This window comes from Homo sapiens, chromosome 3, assembly GCF_000001405.40.
Source record: "Homo sapiens chromosome 3, GRCh38.p14 Primary Assembly".
In the NCBI taxonomy this organism is placed as follows: Eukaryota; Metazoa; Chordata; class Mammalia; order Primates; family Hominidae; genus Homo; species Homo sapiens.
The window spans coordinates 24,445,695-24,463,634 of NC_000003.12; the positions used below are offsets into that span (position 1 = coordinate 24,445,695).

The 17,940-nt window shown below is 37.2% G+C and overlaps 1 protein-coding gene across 52 annotated transcripts in view, besides 2 other annotated features; it reads right to left on the minus strand.

Annotated features, from left to right (window-relative positions):
• THRB (thyroid hormone receptor beta) overlaps positions 1-17,940 on the minus strand; it is a 378,556-nt gene that overhangs the window by 328,542 nt on the left and 32,074 nt on the right. The gene's annotated exons all lie outside the window — the stretch shown is intronic.
• Positions 6,025-6,169: an enhancer, noted in NCBI's record as "145 bp enhancer 120 fragment used in the MPRA reporter construct; PK_construct_1857". NCBI's record gives its function as "activates an SV40 promoter by MPRA in HepG2 cells {active_cell/tissue: HepG2}" and the evidence as "EXISTENCE:reporter gene assay evidence [ECO:0000049][PMID:23512712]".
• Positions 6,090-6,103: a transcriptional cis regulatory region, noted in NCBI's record as "HNF4 motif; enhancer activity is reduced when this motif is scrambled". NCBI's record gives its function as "necessary for full MPRA enhancer 120 activity {active_cell/tissue: HepG2}" and the evidence as "EXISTENCE:site-directed mutagenesis evidence [ECO:0005528][PMID:23512712]".

A 17,940-nucleotide genomic window follows, 5' to 3' on the forward strand; every position in this document is an offset into this window, starting at 1 on the left:
GGCCACATCGATGAAGAATCATAAAAACGTCCATGCCCTTTGATTGCCTCTCCTAGGAACTGTCCAATAGAAACAATTAAGAAGGTGAAAAAAGATGTAATGCAAAACTATTCAAGGCCGTATCATTCATTCTAGGCAGAAGCATAAACATTCAACCATAGACGTACATCCAAAAGTGCAATATTATACAGTCATTGAATAATCATGTTTTGAAAAATATTTAATGTCATGAGAAAATTTTCCTAGTCAAGTGAACATAAGTAAGATATAAAACTTTGTCCAGACCATAATTGTGATTCTGTGATGTAACCATATATGCAGAGAAAAAAACTGGAAGAAAATATGCCAAAATGTTACAGCAGCTATCTCTGAATACTAAGGTAGGCAATTTTTATTTTATACACTGAATATCAGAATAAAATTTATTAAAGAATAAAAACAATACTGTCATGAGAAATCAGAAGCTGGACACACTGGTCATGACCTTCTAAGGATGTAAGGAAGCCTTCGCCTTTTATGTTCCTCTAATTTTACTCCATGATCTCACAGGGAAATGAGTGGAGCAAGTGGCTCATCAGCCACCTTGGCCTCTGAAAAGAATTGTCCCAGAAGCCATCTCTCTATCAAACCTGGCTAATTTCTTCTCTCCTCCTTCAGCTCTGGCCTCTTCCTGCTCACCTCTGCCAATCTCCTTTCCTTCCACTCAAAGTCTGGCCACAACAAAAAAGAAAGCAGGTTTGGAGAGAGGTCAGTATGCTGGGTTATTGTCAAAGGAGTTATGTGTGTTTGTGTGTTTCTGCAAAAGTGCATTCTGCTGCTGCTAAATTGTCATTCCATACACTATCTACATTGGAAAGATCTTTCTCAAAAAAAAAAAAAAAAGAAAGAAAGAAATATACTTTTGAAAATTCCTGCAATGCCTACTGTGACAGTGACATCAGAAGTCTATTTGTTCTTCACAAGTATAATTCATGGAGCTTTATTGAAACCATATCATTTGATCACTCAACAATATTCAGCAAATCTTTGTGGGGTGCTCTCTATGGTTCTGGGAAATATAATGTGAGAGTGGGCGGCTGAATCATGGTCCTCAGAGATGTCCATAGCTTTATCCTGAAACTTGTGAATAAGTTACTTCCTATAGCAATACTTACACATGTGATTGAGGTAAGGATCTTGAGACAGGGAGCTTATCCTGCAATATTTGGGTGGGCCCAAATAATCACAGAGATCTTTACAAGGAAATAGGCAGAAGAGTCAAGATAGTTGTTGTCCTTGCAAAGTATTTTTTGCAACTTCCCAGTCTCCCATCATTACCGGGGACACAGTTATGCAAATATAGCCTCCATTTTTATAAGAAATGAAGGAATTAAAAAATAGAAGTAGATGAAAACTATTTAGCAACATATATTTTAATTATAAAATTAGGAGGCACAGATTCCCCTTTCCAATTAGTTTTTAAGTCAAATCAATCAAATTTCAAAGAGCAGTTATGCATTTATTTTTAAAATTTAATTAGGAAGAAATTCGAAGCAATTAATGAATGTTATCAATTATAATGCATTACCATGAGAAAACCCCAACAACCCTTAAGTATGATTGAATATTTTGTACTCTGTAATGATGAACTAGGCTTAGCCATTTAAAAAAATTAACTCCTGAGCTTAAAATAATCTCAACAAGTCAAACAGGTCTAAGTGAACCTGCAGTGAACCTAGGAGAGAACTTTCTCATGCTACACCCTTCTTTGCAGTAATGGGAGGGTTTGATCTCAGAGGGAATACCTTTGTTTCATCGTGTCCTGTTAATATATTAATAAGTTCAATTGCCAGCTGTTCATTTTCATGATGACACAGGGATATCTTTATTTCTATTTATCCTGTATATAATCAGGGGCACCATGACCCTCTTCTTTGAAATGAATGATTTCAAGCTTAATGGAAATTTAAAGTACTATATAGCAAAACTCTATGATCTGAGTCCTGGAGGGGAAGGGGTGAGTAGACATTAGATAATAAATCCCCAATGAAAGCCAAGAGAACTCGAGAAAGCCTGACCATTTTGGTCCATAAAATGTGTCAGGGGTCAGTGCTCTGCAAATGGGAGGAGATGGGGAATGAAGGTTTCATAATTTAGTGATCACCCAAATGGTATCGGAGGAGTTTGAACTATAAAGAGAAAAGTAGTTGCCTCTTGCTGACCACCAAGATTGCTACAGGTTTCAAGGAAAGAGAGCGCTAGTCATCACGACCACTTCATTTGGTAATTATTTATGAAGTACCTTCCTGCCCTTGATGACGAATTCTTTCTTTCTTTGAAACCTGTAGCGATCTTGTTGGTCAGCAAGAAGCAACTACTTATTTCTTTATAGTTCAAACTCTTATGATACAGTTGGGTGACAACTGAATTATGAATCCTTCTTTCCACATGTGCCATTTGCAGAGCACTGACCCCTGACACATTCCAAGTACAGAAATGGTCAGACTCTCTTGAGTTCTCTTGGTTTTCACTGGCGATTTATCATTAAGGATGTAAGTATAACTTAACTTTAAAAAAGACTCGCATATATGAAAAAATCAGCATAATCACATAGAAACGCAATTCAGGGATCAAAATGCTATTTTTAAAAAATCTTTTAAAAGTCTCCATTGTAAAAATGATTACTGCTCAACTCTGAGAAAAGTAATGATACCAAAAGAGGTTAACCAGAATGAAATGTACAATGTTGGTAATTAATGATTACTTTAGATAACTATGTAAACATTTTTTCAGAGGCACTTGCTATCAATTAGGAAAGCTACAATACACAGATAAGCAGGCCTTGTCCTGGTTTGTTCCATCGGCTAGAGAAGCAGCCTTTAGCTAGGGGTCTTTATTAAAAAGACTTGTATACCTCCCATCTTGACAACCTAAAAGTTCATTCTCTGAACATAAACACAACCCATTAAGTACCTGTCATGAGGTTATTACAAAACATATAAAAATATAAAACTTGGTCTTTGCACATTTATAACAGATTCAGGTTGTTTGGCTAAATGTACATTAAATGTTCAAGAGTCAGCAAGTTCTGGGTATGAAAACTAATATTTAAACAGAGAAATGCCTTTTCTGAGAAAGAAAACCCCTGCCACTGGCTTTGGAGAGTAAGAACACAAGCCAGCAGATGACAGGGAAGGACTCTATGCCACTAGTTAAAAATAAATGACAGAGAAGCCCATGCAAAAGCAGGCCAGAAAGATGCGAATTTAGAGAATGGCAAACAAAACAGCCAAAATAAGGTCAAGGACAGATGTAAGACAGAAGGAAGTCAAAGCAGGAATGGCTTGAGTTTGAAGGCAAAGGCAGAATTCTGAATTTGACAGAGGGAGTGATGGGCAGCCATGTGGCTAGTTAGAGGGTGATTTAAAGTTGGCCAATGAAAGACAAAGTATGAAAGGGAAAATCAGTTCTTCAGAAATGATTATTAAAAATTCTTGAAGGCAAGCTACTTACAGCCATATTTCAGTACAAGCATGGTGAACACTGTATACCAATATAAGGAGTGTTCCTTATTTTAAATCTGTTCTCATCTATTTTCATGGATTTCACATATATATGACCCATTTCTGACAGCAGGGAAGGTCACTTTCATATTAATATTCAATATGTCACACCACTGTCATATCAACTATCCTCAGGCAGGTCTGATGGCTGGTTGACAGAAATGGGCATTTTGAGAGGAAATTCCCAGAACCAAGTAACCCAGCTGGAGAATACCGCTGCAGGAAAGACAGCAGTACTATATATTAACTCAGCAGGGAAAACAGCTAAATTGTTCTTCCTGCTTATTAATAGACCAACATTTAGTCCAACAGCTCTAATTTTCTGTGGAATTTTTGACTTTCTCTCTTGAAAACTGAAAGTCATGTTAATGGTTTTCTGCATAATGCTTGTCTGTATGGTTTAGGGATATGAGGGAAGATTTTTTCAAAATAGGGAAGCCGGTCCAAAGAATATTAGCCTTATCTTTTCCCTAAATACTATATATGTGAGACTATCTTAATTCAAAGGAGGCGATATAGTGAAAAGCTTTTCTGTGCTAGTTTTAGTAATAACTTGTAATAATGGGAAAAAAAGAAGATTAAGTTTGAGTGAATAATAGGACGCTAAAAAAGAAGATACTAACTTGGCTCTTAAGTTTTTAGTGGGACTTACTGCTTTGATTTATAAGCAATAATCATAGAGGCAGAAATGAGACAATCTAGCATCTAAGCATTCAAATGAACATTTTAAGAATTAATGAGGAAGGAAGGAAAGGAGGGAAGAAGGAGGAAGGGGAGAAGGAAGAAAGGAGGGGAGTTAGCCGGGAAGTAAACAGAGGGAAGAAGGGAGAGAGAAGGAAGGAAACTAGACACTCTTAAAGAAAGCATCATAACTTAATATTTAAGATTCTTATTTTATACAATTAAAAATCTCGTTTAATTATTTAAGAAAGAAAACTTCCACAGGTATAATGTACAACTGTACCTTAGAGACCATGTGATATGTATTCATAGTCTGAAAAGTCTTTGTATTTATTCTTGGGAAATAAGGACTACACACTCAAAAAGAAATTCCTGCAGAGAGGCAGGTAAATGGACAGCACGATTTACAGTAGACCTCACATTTACACATTGGCAACCCTCACAAAAGCTGATATGCCCTGACGTTTATTTCCTCTGAACATTTACTTACGAGTGTCAAAGTCTGAAAGAAACCTCATTACAAAAAGTGACATTTTATCTCCATTTGTGCATTTATGAACGTATTCTACATTTTTCTGAAGTGTTATTTATTCTTTACTTTAAAAATGTACTACCCAATTTATCTATGAGGTCTTTCAGTCTCAATTCATGACAACCTTTGTACTTACTGTTCCTAAAAACTCAAAGACGAGTTTCTGAGCTTTGTAATAAAGAACTTCATTCTGCTGTACAAATTAAACCAGGTGTAGGTAAACCAGTGTAGGTAAATGAAAAACTGGGGTTAAAAAGAAAAAGATGCCAATCTATAGTAGGCTCAGCTTTTTTTTGAGAGAGAGATTAAGGTGCATACAGTCAACTGGTGTGAAGGTCACCAAACAAAATGTTGCAATCTTAAAGTGCCACTGACATGCAGTCAGTGTGCTGCAGCAGCTCAGGATTAATCCATGCAGCTCTTTCTCCTTCCTTGCTATTGTTTCAGAATCCTTCATAAATGTGCATTATGAAGTCTGTTATATTTGCAGGAAAACATTCTAAAAATTAGACAAATTTTTCTTCAAATTGAAATAAAAATATGTAAATAATATAACTTTTAAAAATTTGGTTTCCCACACCCAGGTTTTGTTATAGGAAAAGTGACCCACAGGCTCAAAACTCCATAAATATTTCCTTGTGATACATATGAGCTATGACAAGTCTAACCTTAATTATTTATTATCCACTTACTAATGACGTCTAAATTACCAAATATTTCAGTTGAAGATTTTCTGATTTTCCTGGGAAACAGCTGAAAGCTACAAGCCACTACATGTACTTTTTTTTTTTTTTTTTTTTTTGAGACAGAGTCTCGCTGTGTCACCCAGGCTGGAGTGCAGTGGCGCGATCTCAGCTCACTGCAACCTCTGTCTCCCAGATTCAAGCGATTCTCCTGCCTCAGCCTCCCGAGTAGCTGGGACTACAGGTGCCTGCCACCATGCCTAGCTAATTTTTTTTGTATTTTTAGTAGAGATGGGGTTTCACTATGTTAGCCAAGCTGGTCTTACATTCCTGACCTCGTGATCCACCCGCCTCAGCCTCCCAAAGTTCTGGGATTACAGGCGTGAGCCACCACGCCCGGCCTACATGTACCTTTAGCTTTCAAAAGTCAGAGTCAAAATCAGAAGGAAGCATTCCTGGTTCAGGGACCTCTATTCTCTTTCACCTGCTCCTGACCTGCTGCTTTCCTTTTGGTGAGGACAGCTCCTTATAAAGCAAATAGCTCCCCACTCTGAATGGAAAGGCTCATCTCCTCAGTCCATGTTGCAAGCACAAATCTCCCTGATAGTCATTTAGGGAGTGAATCAGACTTGCAGCCAATAAGCACAAAGCTGACCTTTAAACCTCAGCCTTTAATAGAGCATTGGGTTATTTTACTTTGTGTTTGCTCAACATTTCCAGGGGTCAAAGGGCCTGGTTTACTGACGTGGGGTGAACTAGGGAACCTTGCTTCAACTTCTATGTTGCAACAGATAAAAAAGCACTGGGGGCTGGGCTGGTAGGGGCCTAAGCCCCAACCTCAAGTATGCCCAGTATCACAGGTGTTAGAATACATTCTGAAGTCTTTAGCATTTAGAGATGACTAGATTGCCCGAGGCTGAGGACTAGCCCTTAGCTAACAACTATGGGAGAAATGAGAAAGAGTCTTGGGGGCTGGGGAGTAAGCTTTCACATTTTCCCAGTACTGCACCAAATGACAGATCTTGAGGTGAAAGGAGAAATCAGTTAATACTGATTCTGTCTTTATTTAAACATTAATATTTATTTTACCATGGGTATTTGTGCATTACTTTTGATTTTTAAAAGTAGTGCATTAAAATAATATTTGTTGTGATTGCCTGGATTTTTGGCACCCCCTTCCGTTTGGTGCCCAAGGTGCGTGCCTAACTTCCCTCACCCTAGTCCTAGCCCTGGTCTGTCACCTCATGGTTCCCATCCAACATTTTCACATAAAAATGGGGGTAGATTTAAGCAGGCTGGTGGAGATGCTTACAGCAGGGTTGAGAAGGGGAGAAGTGTCCAAGTCATCCAAGAAAATCATTACTGAGCATGTAGTATGTGCCAGATGTACATTCCTTTGGTCCTCACCTATGAGGAAGGCCTACTAATCTTCTGCTGAGAAAGATGAGGCTCCGAGAAACATGCTTCCTTCCACTTTCCTCCAACCCAGGAACCGGCGCTATAAACCACCTGGTGCTCAAGCAGAAACGTGGGGGCTGTCCATGACCCCTCCTTGCTAACCCACCTGTAACTATTTATGATCACTCAAATAGTAAATGGAGGGGTAAAGTTCAAAAGATGGTCTGCTTGATGACAATGTCCACACTCTTTTTGCTATATCTGCAACCTCTCCCAAGAAAACTGGTCTTGTTAAATTGTTCTGGCATCCTGTTGGCTGGTCCAGGACAAGGTTAAATTATTTTTAAGTGCTGTTTTGCAAATTTCTCCAGTATATTTCAGTTCGAATTTGAATACCAGCTCTATCTCTGGCCCAGGATGCTACTTGAAGCCCGACATCTCTCCACTCAGATATCTCACATCCATCCAAACAAACAACTCCAAAATAAGATTCTTGACCTTCCTCTCAAACCCTTATTCTCCCCAGTTTCCTCCATCTCAGGCACTGGCACCACCAAGTGTCTTGTACACAAGCCGGATACCTGTCAGTTGTCTTTGAAACTTCCCTCCTCTTCTCCATCCAAACCATCACCAACTCTTGTCTATTTCAGTAGTCAAAACAATTAATAGCAGCAACAGTTATTAAAGCATTCACTATGTGCCAGGTACTCTTGTGATGCATATACAGCATTATTAACTCATTCGATTTTCATAACAACTTCACATCATGGCTCCTATGATTATTTTCATTTAACGGTGGCATAGGAAAATTAATTTGCCCAAGGTCATACAGCTAGTAAGAGAGGAAGTTAGTACTATAACCCAGTCATTCTGGCTTCAGAACACACACTTTTAGCCATGACACTCTATCCAAGATAATCCCCAATCCATTCACCTTACTCGTTTTCCACTGTCTCATTTTAGTTCAAGCTCACTGATTTTAGTCATTGCTCACTCTAGCAACAGCAAAGGTCTCCCAAGTGGTCGTCTTGGTTCTGTTTCTACCTCATTTTCACACATCAATCTTCATGAAACAGCTAGCAGGATCATCTTAAAGTTTATATTGGATCACGCCATTTCCGCTGCTAAAATCCACAAAACCACTCAACTACTTTCTGAATGAAATTCAAACTCCTTAATGTGGTCTCTAAGGTGTATGTAAACCGGCCCCTTCCCTCTTCCCAGACTTTGTCTCCTACCCTTCTCTACCTTACCATCTTTCTATTCCACTGGCCTTCCTGCTCATCTTTAAACCCAGCAAATTCATTCCTGTCTCATGGCCTTTGCACATGCTGCTCCCTCTGCCTGCAGTGTTCTCCTAGCCCTCAAGACAGCTTCATCAAATCCTCAATGTGTCTCAGGGTACTTTCTTGACCCCTTTCCCCAAACTAAAATAACCTCTGTATTATTTTATCTTAGCACCCGCTCTCTACTTTCATGGCAATAAAAAAATGCATTCCAGGAGGAAATATAAAACGAAATAAAAATTTTGCAAATCATATCTCTGATAAGAAACTTGTATCTTGAATATACAAAAAACTCAATAGTAAAAAGGCAAGATAATTTAAAAACAGGCAAAGGATCTGGAATATTATTAAGCAATATAAAGAAATGAATTTTATCGATACATGGTATGACATGGATAACCTTTGAAAACATTATGCTTAGTGAAAGAAATCAGTCACAAAAAGTCAAACATATTGTATTATTCCATATACATGAGATGTCCAGAATAGGAAAATTCATAATTCATACAGACAGAAAGTAGATTAGTTGTTGCCCAGAGCTGGAGGAGGGAATGAGGAGCAAGTGTTAATGAGTGTGAGGTTTTTGAGGGGAGTGACAAAAATGATCTAAAATTAATAGTGGTGATAGCTGCAAACTGAGAATATACTAAAAATCACTCAATTGTGTGCACTTTAAGTGGGTAAATTGCATAGCATGTGGATTCTCAATAAAGCTGTTTAAAAATAGAATGGAATGTAGTTTTTACTACACTTTAAAATGGACCTGTTTGGCATTTACAAGGCAGGTGTGGCTTAACTAAGAGTATCTACAACTTGCTTTTGATAGGAGAAGATAAGTTTTAGATGAAACTTCCTCATATAGAATTTATAATCTCTCTCTCTTCTCATAATTCCTAGTCTTTTTGTCTTTTTCTATAGATATTGTTGAAATCTTAGAATAAGATGTATAGAATTTTAGCATGGGACAAGATATAAGAGATAATGTAGTCTCTGATTTTAGAGGAAAGAAAACATACTCGGAAAGAATAAACATCCTTTCCACGATCACAAAGATAATGAGAATGAGAATCAGAGCTTTCCAGATCAAAGCTTTATTTTTTATTTTTCAACAGCACCATAGAAAATGTAGAGTAGTGAATGGTATTTTCCAAAATATCTTCTTGACCAAAGTCGCTAACAATTGACAAGGATGAAGTCTACACAGAGATTGCTTTTTATTGCAGTCATTCCCTCAGTAGCCCTTGACCGAGTGCTTGGTTTGTATTAGTCACTTTGGGAATAAGGACTTACTTTTTTTTTTTTTTTTTTTTTTTTTTTTTAAGGCAGTATTGAGTAGGAAGTTTACATTGGAGTCTCTCCCTCAAGAGTTAGGTCTTCATAGGTACTGAACACTTACACCAATCACCTCCATTACTCAGCTCCTAAGCAGAGATGGAAGCCTCCTAGGTGGAATGTTGAATTTGATTTTGAATTCTCTCTTCAACATTTTCAGCATAAAATTCTTTTCCACTCCTAGATAATATGCCTTTTCTATCTTCTCTTCTCTGTAAAACACTTGGCTTTGAGATCCTGAGAGGTCTTACTTAGTTGTGGGTCTTTGATTATCTCAGGTTTTCTTTTGTCAGCATCAGTGGGAAATAAGAAGTGAAAAAGTGATTTCGTTTCTTAGTGTTTCTGAGTTAATAATGGAAGCACAACTTTGGTTAAATCATTACTTTTGATTCAAATTAAAACACTGGTATCAACATAATACTTTTAAAAATAATCAGACTAGACAATCTGTTCAGATAAGCATTTGACCTCAAAAATATTTTTTACTTCTATATTCCTTGACTACCGCCCCTTTCCAACTTTCCTCTATTTCAGAAAGTTTAAATTGCCTAAAAGAATTCCGGCTTCATTCAGTGGGGTCTTTTATTAATAGGCAGAGAAAAGAGAACTGTATTATAAGACTCAATGACATATAGGATGGATTTTTGCTACTCCATTTCGTCTGGCTGATGACAAGAAATGCATGTGTCCATGCTCAGTGTTGGTTTAGGTGGGCTGGAGAAGGTGGGGCTACTATTTTGACATCACTGTTATTGCTCAATTCTCTGAAATATATTTTTAAAGCATTTTATCAGCTGCTTCACTGAATTTCTCTGCAAACTATTATCTTCTCACATAATCCAGTAAAAAAGAAAGCACATAGTCCTTTTAGATTCCCAAAGAATTTAAAAATAAGTTCGGCCAGGCATGATGGCTCATGCCTATTATCCCAGCACTTTGGGAGGCCAAGGCAGGAGTATTGCTTGAGGTCAAGAGTTTGAGACCAGCCTGGGCAACATAGTGAGGCCTAATCTCTAAGAAAAAAAATTTTTTAAAAATTAACTGGGTGTTCTGTCACACACCTGTAATCCCAGCTACTAGGGAGGCTGAGGCAGGAGGATTGCTTGACCCCAGGAGGTGGAGGCTGCAGTGAGCCATGATAGCAACACTGTAATCCAGTCTGGATGACAGTGTGAGACCCTGTCTAAAAAAAAAAAAAAAGTTAAAAATGTTTATGAAGCTTATAAAAATGCATTCATTCAATCTGTTTTGGTTGTCACCTGATAGAAATTCTTGAAAAGGCAACCAGGTTCCTCTCTACTATATGGGACTATGAAATAGAGTTTTCTACATGATAGTGAATGATAGTAATAAATATGTTTAACCATCTTCCTATCATTCAGTAACCAGTTTGTATACTATCTTATACAAGGTAAGTATTATCTTGTATTAAATATTAAAAATATTAATTAAAACATTAAATTAAAATTTAAAATATTAGTTTAATTAAAAATATTAAATTAAAATATAAAGATAAGTATTAATTATCTTGTATAAGATAGTAAACAAACTGCTTACTGAATGATAAGTATTATCTTATGCTTATCTGATAATATAAGATAGTATACAATATCTTATACACTGTCTTATTATATAAGATAAACTTACTAATAATTCTCTTTCAGAGTTTCATTGTACCATTAGTTAGCATCTAACTTAGGTAGAGAGTAAAGAGGCAAAGGTGGTGAACTGTGATTCTATCTAATTTCTGATTTTTTCATTCTAGAAAAAGTTTAGGGGAAAAGAGAATAAAACTAGTGTAAATTGTAAGGTTTGGGGCTTTTTGGTGTCATCAATTGGCAAACCTCTCCTAATTGTGTTCCTAATTAAGCTTTATTGGACTACACAATATTTAGAAGGGAAGAAAAAAGAGAGGGAGGAAGAAATTATTAATTCACAGAAACTTGATTTAATTGCCAATAGTTAAAAACCTTAAGATTTCACACAAAAATGAAGATTTCTATTTTTTCTTCTTAAAACAAGACAATATAGTCACCCTAACTAAGCCTGTATTACCACAGGACAATACTGAGGGGTAGCTGTCCTGTTTAGGCAAGCTATACTCACCCTTCACCTTTTCCTGGCCAGGCTGGCTAAATTCTTTTATCCTCTTGATCCCTAAAGGCATTTTGTCCATGAGACCCTTCTGATCTAGGCCATCCTTCCTAACATTCTGGCCATTAAAATGAACACTTGGCATTTGATTAGCAGGTATAGATGCATAAAAGATGAATGAGAAAATATATGTCTTCTAGTCTGACTCTGACCTCAGAATCTAATGTCTTCCTAAATAAGAAAATACAGCACACATACCTACTTTTTAAACTATTTTCATCAGCTGACCAAAAATCTGGATTTTTCTGACATTGTCTTAAAAGGCAACAAACTAGTGACATGCGAACAGAAACCACAGGTTTAAAGAACATTGCTGAAAATATTATACGTTTGGTATCTGTGCAAGTGTTTTCTCAGAGTGCTTTCATCTTTCCTATTTTTATTTTTTCTAAAAATAGGACTGTTTTAATATCAATATGTCATCAAATAATCCATTTAAGCAGCAGATTACCAGGCAAAACCAAGAAACATCAATAGATAGGAGTGTAAGACACTGTGTAGCCCTGCACTTCTCTGAAACAGCAGATCAGATTTCCCAGTGAGGACATTTGCCTTTAGAGTAGAGTTAGGCGCATTTGAAGGCTATAGGAGCTCTTCAGAGTCATGATGGTAGTAATTACTCAGTAACTGCTTTAGTGATTTAAAGCAGAGCTTCTCAAACATGAATGAATCACCTGGGCATCTTGTTAAATGAAGATTCTGGTCCAACAGGTCTGGGGTGGGGCCTAAAATTATGCATTTCTGACAAGTCCCCAGGGGAAGTCTATGGGGCTGGCCTAGGGTCCACACTCGGAATAGGAAGGTTCTAAAGAAATACAGCATTGTAAAAGGAAAAATAAACATTTTGAGGCTAAATGACAGCAGTCATTGTGGGCTGATAATACCTGCCAGACAAATTATCTCAGCATCATTTCTTGTTCCTAGGAGTTGAAGCAGCCAAAGTTGGCTGACTGTGTGCTAGCTCTCTTTAGAGATCCTGAGCAGGCTGAAGACCCTGTTGTACTGGGTAGTTCTGAAGCACAAAAGACCACGGAAGAGTTTTTTAATCAAAAAATATTTGAGGTAATCTCTGAAATGCTTACAGAAGACTGCAATTTGGTCTGTAGTTTACATTCAGAATAATTGCCTTTGAAGATTTAAAAAAAGAAGGAGCTTTGAAGAATACCCCATTTGCAACATCATTGCCTCTCAACCAGTTAAACATTTTCGATTCTTTCAGTCCACTCAGTAGGGTCCTAGTTAATGCACTGGTTACTAACAATTTAGCAATTAGTTTCAATTTCCTCCACCAAACATTTTATAAATGGTAAAACTGACTAACTCAGATACCCACTCCCTCCCCTACAGTGCAGCAAATGTATCAGCAACCTGAAGGAAAGAATGTTCCTCCATGAACATCCAACTTAACTGAGGAGTGATTTAAGTACTGAGAAAATTAATCTCATACTATTCGAAAAGAAGAACCGAACTGCAAACCAATAGTCACATTACAGAAAAGATAATACTTAGCTAAAGCTTCAGATGTCCATGTAGGATGGCCTTCACCTTCAAATACGTTAAATATTATAAATATTCTAAAAGAAAAAAATTCAAGGTTCAGTTTTTTCCTCTTTTACTTTCTGATATTTATGTATTTATTATTTATTTATAAATATTTATATATTTATTTATTATACTTTAAGTTCTGCGGTACATGTGCAGAACGTGCAGTTTTGTTACATAGGTATGCACATGCCATGGTCGTTTGCTGCACCCATCAACCTGTCACCTACATTAGGTATTTCTCCTAATGTTATCCCTTCCTTAGGCCCCCACCCCCCAACAGGCCCGGGTGTGTGAGTTCCCTTCCCTGTGTCCATGTGTTCTTGTTCAACTCCCATTTATAAGTGAGAACATGTGGTGTTTGGTTTTCTGTTCCTACGATAGTTTGTGATAGCTTGCTGAGAATGATGGTTTCCAGCTTCATCCATGTCCCTGCAAAGGACATGAACTCATCCTTTTTATGACTGCATAGTATTCCATGGTGTATATGTGCCACATTTTCTTTATCCACTCTATCATTGATGGACATTTCGGTTGGTTCCAAGTCTTTGCTATTGCGAGTAGTGCTGCAATGAACATACCTGTGCATGTGTCTTTACAGTAGAATGATTTATAATCCTTTGGGTATATACCCAGTAATGGGATTGCTGGGTCAAATGGTATTTCTAGCTCTAGATCCCTGAGGAATCACCACACCGTCTTCCACAATGGTTGAACTAATTTACACCCCCACCAACAGTGTGAAAGCGTTCCTCTTTCTCCACATCCTCTCTAGCATCTGTTGTTTCCTGACTTTTTAATGATCGTCATTCTAGCTGGCGTGAGATGGTATCTCATTGGGGTTTTGATTTGCATTTCTTGGATGACCAGTGATGATGAGCTTTTTTTCATGTTTGTTGGCTGCATAAATGTCTTCTTTTGAGAAGTGTCTGTTCAGATCCTTTGCCTACTTTTTGATGGTTTTTTTATTGTAAATTTCTTTAAGTTCTAATATCCAGAATCTACAAAGGTTTAGTTTTTATATAGGTACTTATAAATATTTTTATTTGAAAATGTATTTGTTTGTATTTTGGGGGCATAATATCACGCTCTTATTAATATATTCACAAGACATTTTGGTAAACAGAGCAGTTAAATTTTAGCCATTCAATTTTAAGAAATCACTTGAAACCATATGGGTTAGGCAGTGCCTAATGTTTTACCTGCTGTCCTCTTTTCTTTGCTTCCACTTCCTCTAAAAGATTATTATTCTATGCTCATTAAGGACATTTTATTTAGCACATTTTCTAAATGGCTTTTGAGAATGTATTATCTGGTGAACTCTGTCTTTAAACACCAAAATGGAAAGGTTAAAGTGACAGGCTTATCTATCCGAGATGTATCTTTCTAAAAATACGAGAAGGTTATTATTTTTTTTCTTGTTTCATACCATACTGGGTAAATGAATCTATGGGTTTAAATTATAAAGCAAACATCATCAGGAACATCACAGAGTTCAGAGATGATCAGACAAATTGCACTGAAAAAGTTTACCCTCAATTATCTTTATCAGCAATGGGAAAAGTGACAGGATACATTCAAACCACTGTGTTGGGTTTGTAATATTCATGATTATTATTTTTGAACCAGATTTCTTTGTATTTCCTTAACATGTTTGTACAGACTAATATTTAAACAATTTTCTTTCATTCCTTTAATCTACTGTAATTAAAGGGAAGAGAACATAAAGCTTAACTTTATAATTCACTAAGTAATGATTGGCTATCTTGAGAATTATTTGTCTATGAGATTGTAGCTCCAGAGTTATGCTGTAGTTATGACTGAGTGTCAGGTACTAAAACTTTTAGAGGATTCATCCAGAACTGCCTGGTCATAGAAAAGATGGGGAAAAGGTAAAATTTGTAAGAAGTGCTTCCAGGAATCTTAGTTTCTATTTACTAAGATTCTGCTCCAGACAAAACGTCACAATTTTAGTTGATAAGCACTTCATGTGTTCTCTCATAAGGTTATGTAACTTCATCTAACTCTTACAGGGTTATTTGTATTTTAGCAGAAGATTTGCATTTTAGCAGAAGATTCCAAAAGCCTGGAAAGTTGTAAAGCCCCCCAGAAGTATAAGAGCCTCACTGGTCAATTGTAGGGGTTTGCAGGCTAGAGGCTATGTATCTCTAAAATTTAATTCAAAACTGTATACATGTTTTATGCACACCATTTTCTAGGCAACAGTACAGACTCTTAAATGGTTCTGCAATCCCTAAAAGGTCAAGAACCACTGCTAATAATGGAATATGAGTCACTAAGAAAAAAGAATTCATCAGCATCACTTTGGAGAGGTTGGCTACAGTCTTGGGTTTTGAAGTGAGGCAGGCCTGGGGTCAAGTCTGTAGTTTGCCATTTACTCACTGTGCCACCGCAAGCAAGTTACTTAACTTCTCTGAGGTAGGTTTCCTCCCTTTATAAAGTGGAGATAAAAGTAGCACCTACTTCAGTGGGATGTTGTGAGAATTAAGCGTAATGTTTATCAAGATGTTGGTACATAGCTGGTATACTGTATACTCTCAATAAACAGTAGCTGCTACTCTTAGTACTGTTAGTATTACTTGCTTTATTAGCATTATAAAAAACATTGTGAAGGCAGAGGACTTATCTGCCAAGTTAAGGCAGATTATTCTAACTCTTCTTGCAGCTGGCTAATAAAATAGAGATGTGGCTAATTAACTTAATGATTAATCCATCGTTGACCAAGTCAAAGCTTAACAGATTTGTTCTTTAAAAGTGATCTGATTTTATTTGCATTAACTATAAGCCAACTAATCTAGTGAAATGAAATAATTGAGGGTTTTAAATATTCTCTGGTCTTCTAAGAATTTCCTAAATTATAAAATGACTATGATGTCTATACTAAGGGGGCATGTCATACAGCATGCAAAAATAAGCATAAATTTATTGTCAGCTATGTTCAAGACAACATCTTAGCGTTAAAAATCTGGTGTCTTCCCAAATGGTCATCAATGAGACTTATTAGGTATTACGGCACATCTTTAGCACAGATTGCCATGCACCTATTAAAAATAATTTTAAAGAATAATATTCAATGACATGGAATAATGTTCATGATACATTTAGTGAAAAAAGATGTCCACAAAATTATATAAAGCCTCATCCTGTTTCTGTACAATGATGAGCACAGAAAACTGCCTAGAAGGAAATACACCAACATTTCAACGGTGGGTGACAAGACAATAGGTGAGTTTCTAAAATGAGCATTCATTACTTTTGTCATCAGAAAAATAATAAAAAGCATTAGAACATAATGGCTAAAAAAAAAAAACTTTTCAGCAGCATGTTATCCCAAAAAGGGCCCCAGATGGCAAGGACTTGGGCTTGAGCCCAAGACACAGGCACCTTTAAGGGATAGGCTTGGACAAGTTACCTCCTTTCTTTTGGGCCAGATATTATTCCTTAGAATTAAGAAGGTTTGACTAAATGATCTCTATGTATCTCTCCAGTCTTACATTCTAGAATTGCATGTCTCTTGCTATGAGAAGAAGATGAGTTTTTAAGAAAATTCAGACAAGTAGTCCTTCAAATTAAGTTGGTTCTATTACTCACGGCATTTCAGGAGTAACGTATTGCCGAGGTCATAGCCCTGTTCTAAACTATTACATATTAGAAAATTATCTATGTGATTAAATTTGTTCTGTGGTAATACATAGTAAAGAAATCAATTTACTTGGAGCTCCAAATCAAAACAGAACAAAACATGTTTTAAACTGCTACCATTTGGCTCTGTGTATAAAATGAATGCATAAAACCCTACTTTGCATTGTCCTTGCAACATACAGAGGGGAGAAAATTCTTCCTTTGTTCCTGCCCAGATTCTTCCCCTTGGAGCCAGTGGGCTCTTCAGATGCCACTGAGGAGTTTCCTCGAGGTGCTTTTCAAATGGCATTGAAAGATGGCAGCAGTCACCCAGAAGCCTGGGAAAAATACCCAGTTTCTCAGGCTACCAAGCTCACCCTCATCTGGGCAAGGCACCCAGCTGAGAGGAACTAGTACCCAAAGGCTGATCTGCTTCTATGCATGAGCAAGAACAATTTTCCACCCACTCCCTGTAACCCCCCTCCTGTCACTGCTATAGGGTCACACAACTTGGCTTCCCTCCTGGACAGAGGGGAAACTCATTCCACAGTATCTATTTGGGCTCTGCTATTGACAAAGAGCTTGATTTGCCCTGATTAGTAAGACAGTATTGTTTCCTCTAGCCAGGGCTAGTTAAGGGAGAAGGAAGAAATATCTGAAACCTTAATGGAGTGTTAAGGGATTAAGATTTCTATGTAACTTTGTTACTAGAAAAAGTGTTGAAAGGAACGGGGAACGGCTTTTCTCTTCACACCATCTCATTTCTAAATTTGATAACAATCTTTTTATTTTGAGACAGAGTCTCATCCTGTAGCCCAGGCTGGAATGCAGTGGTGTGATCATAGCTCACTACAACCTCGACCTCCTAGGCTCAAGCCATCCTTCCACCTCAGCCTGCCAAGTAGCTGGGACTACAGGCACATGTGCGGCTAATTTTTTTTATTGTTATTATTACTATTATTTTGTAGAGACAGGGTCTTCCTGTGTTGCCCAGGCAGCTCTTGAACTCTTGGGCTCACCTCAGCCTCCACAAAGTGCTGGGATTACAGGCATGAGCCACCCCGTCCAGCCTACATTTGATAATAATCTTTCAAAGACTCCCCGATACTATATTTTTCAAAGGCACAGGTAAATATGTTGCTGCTACA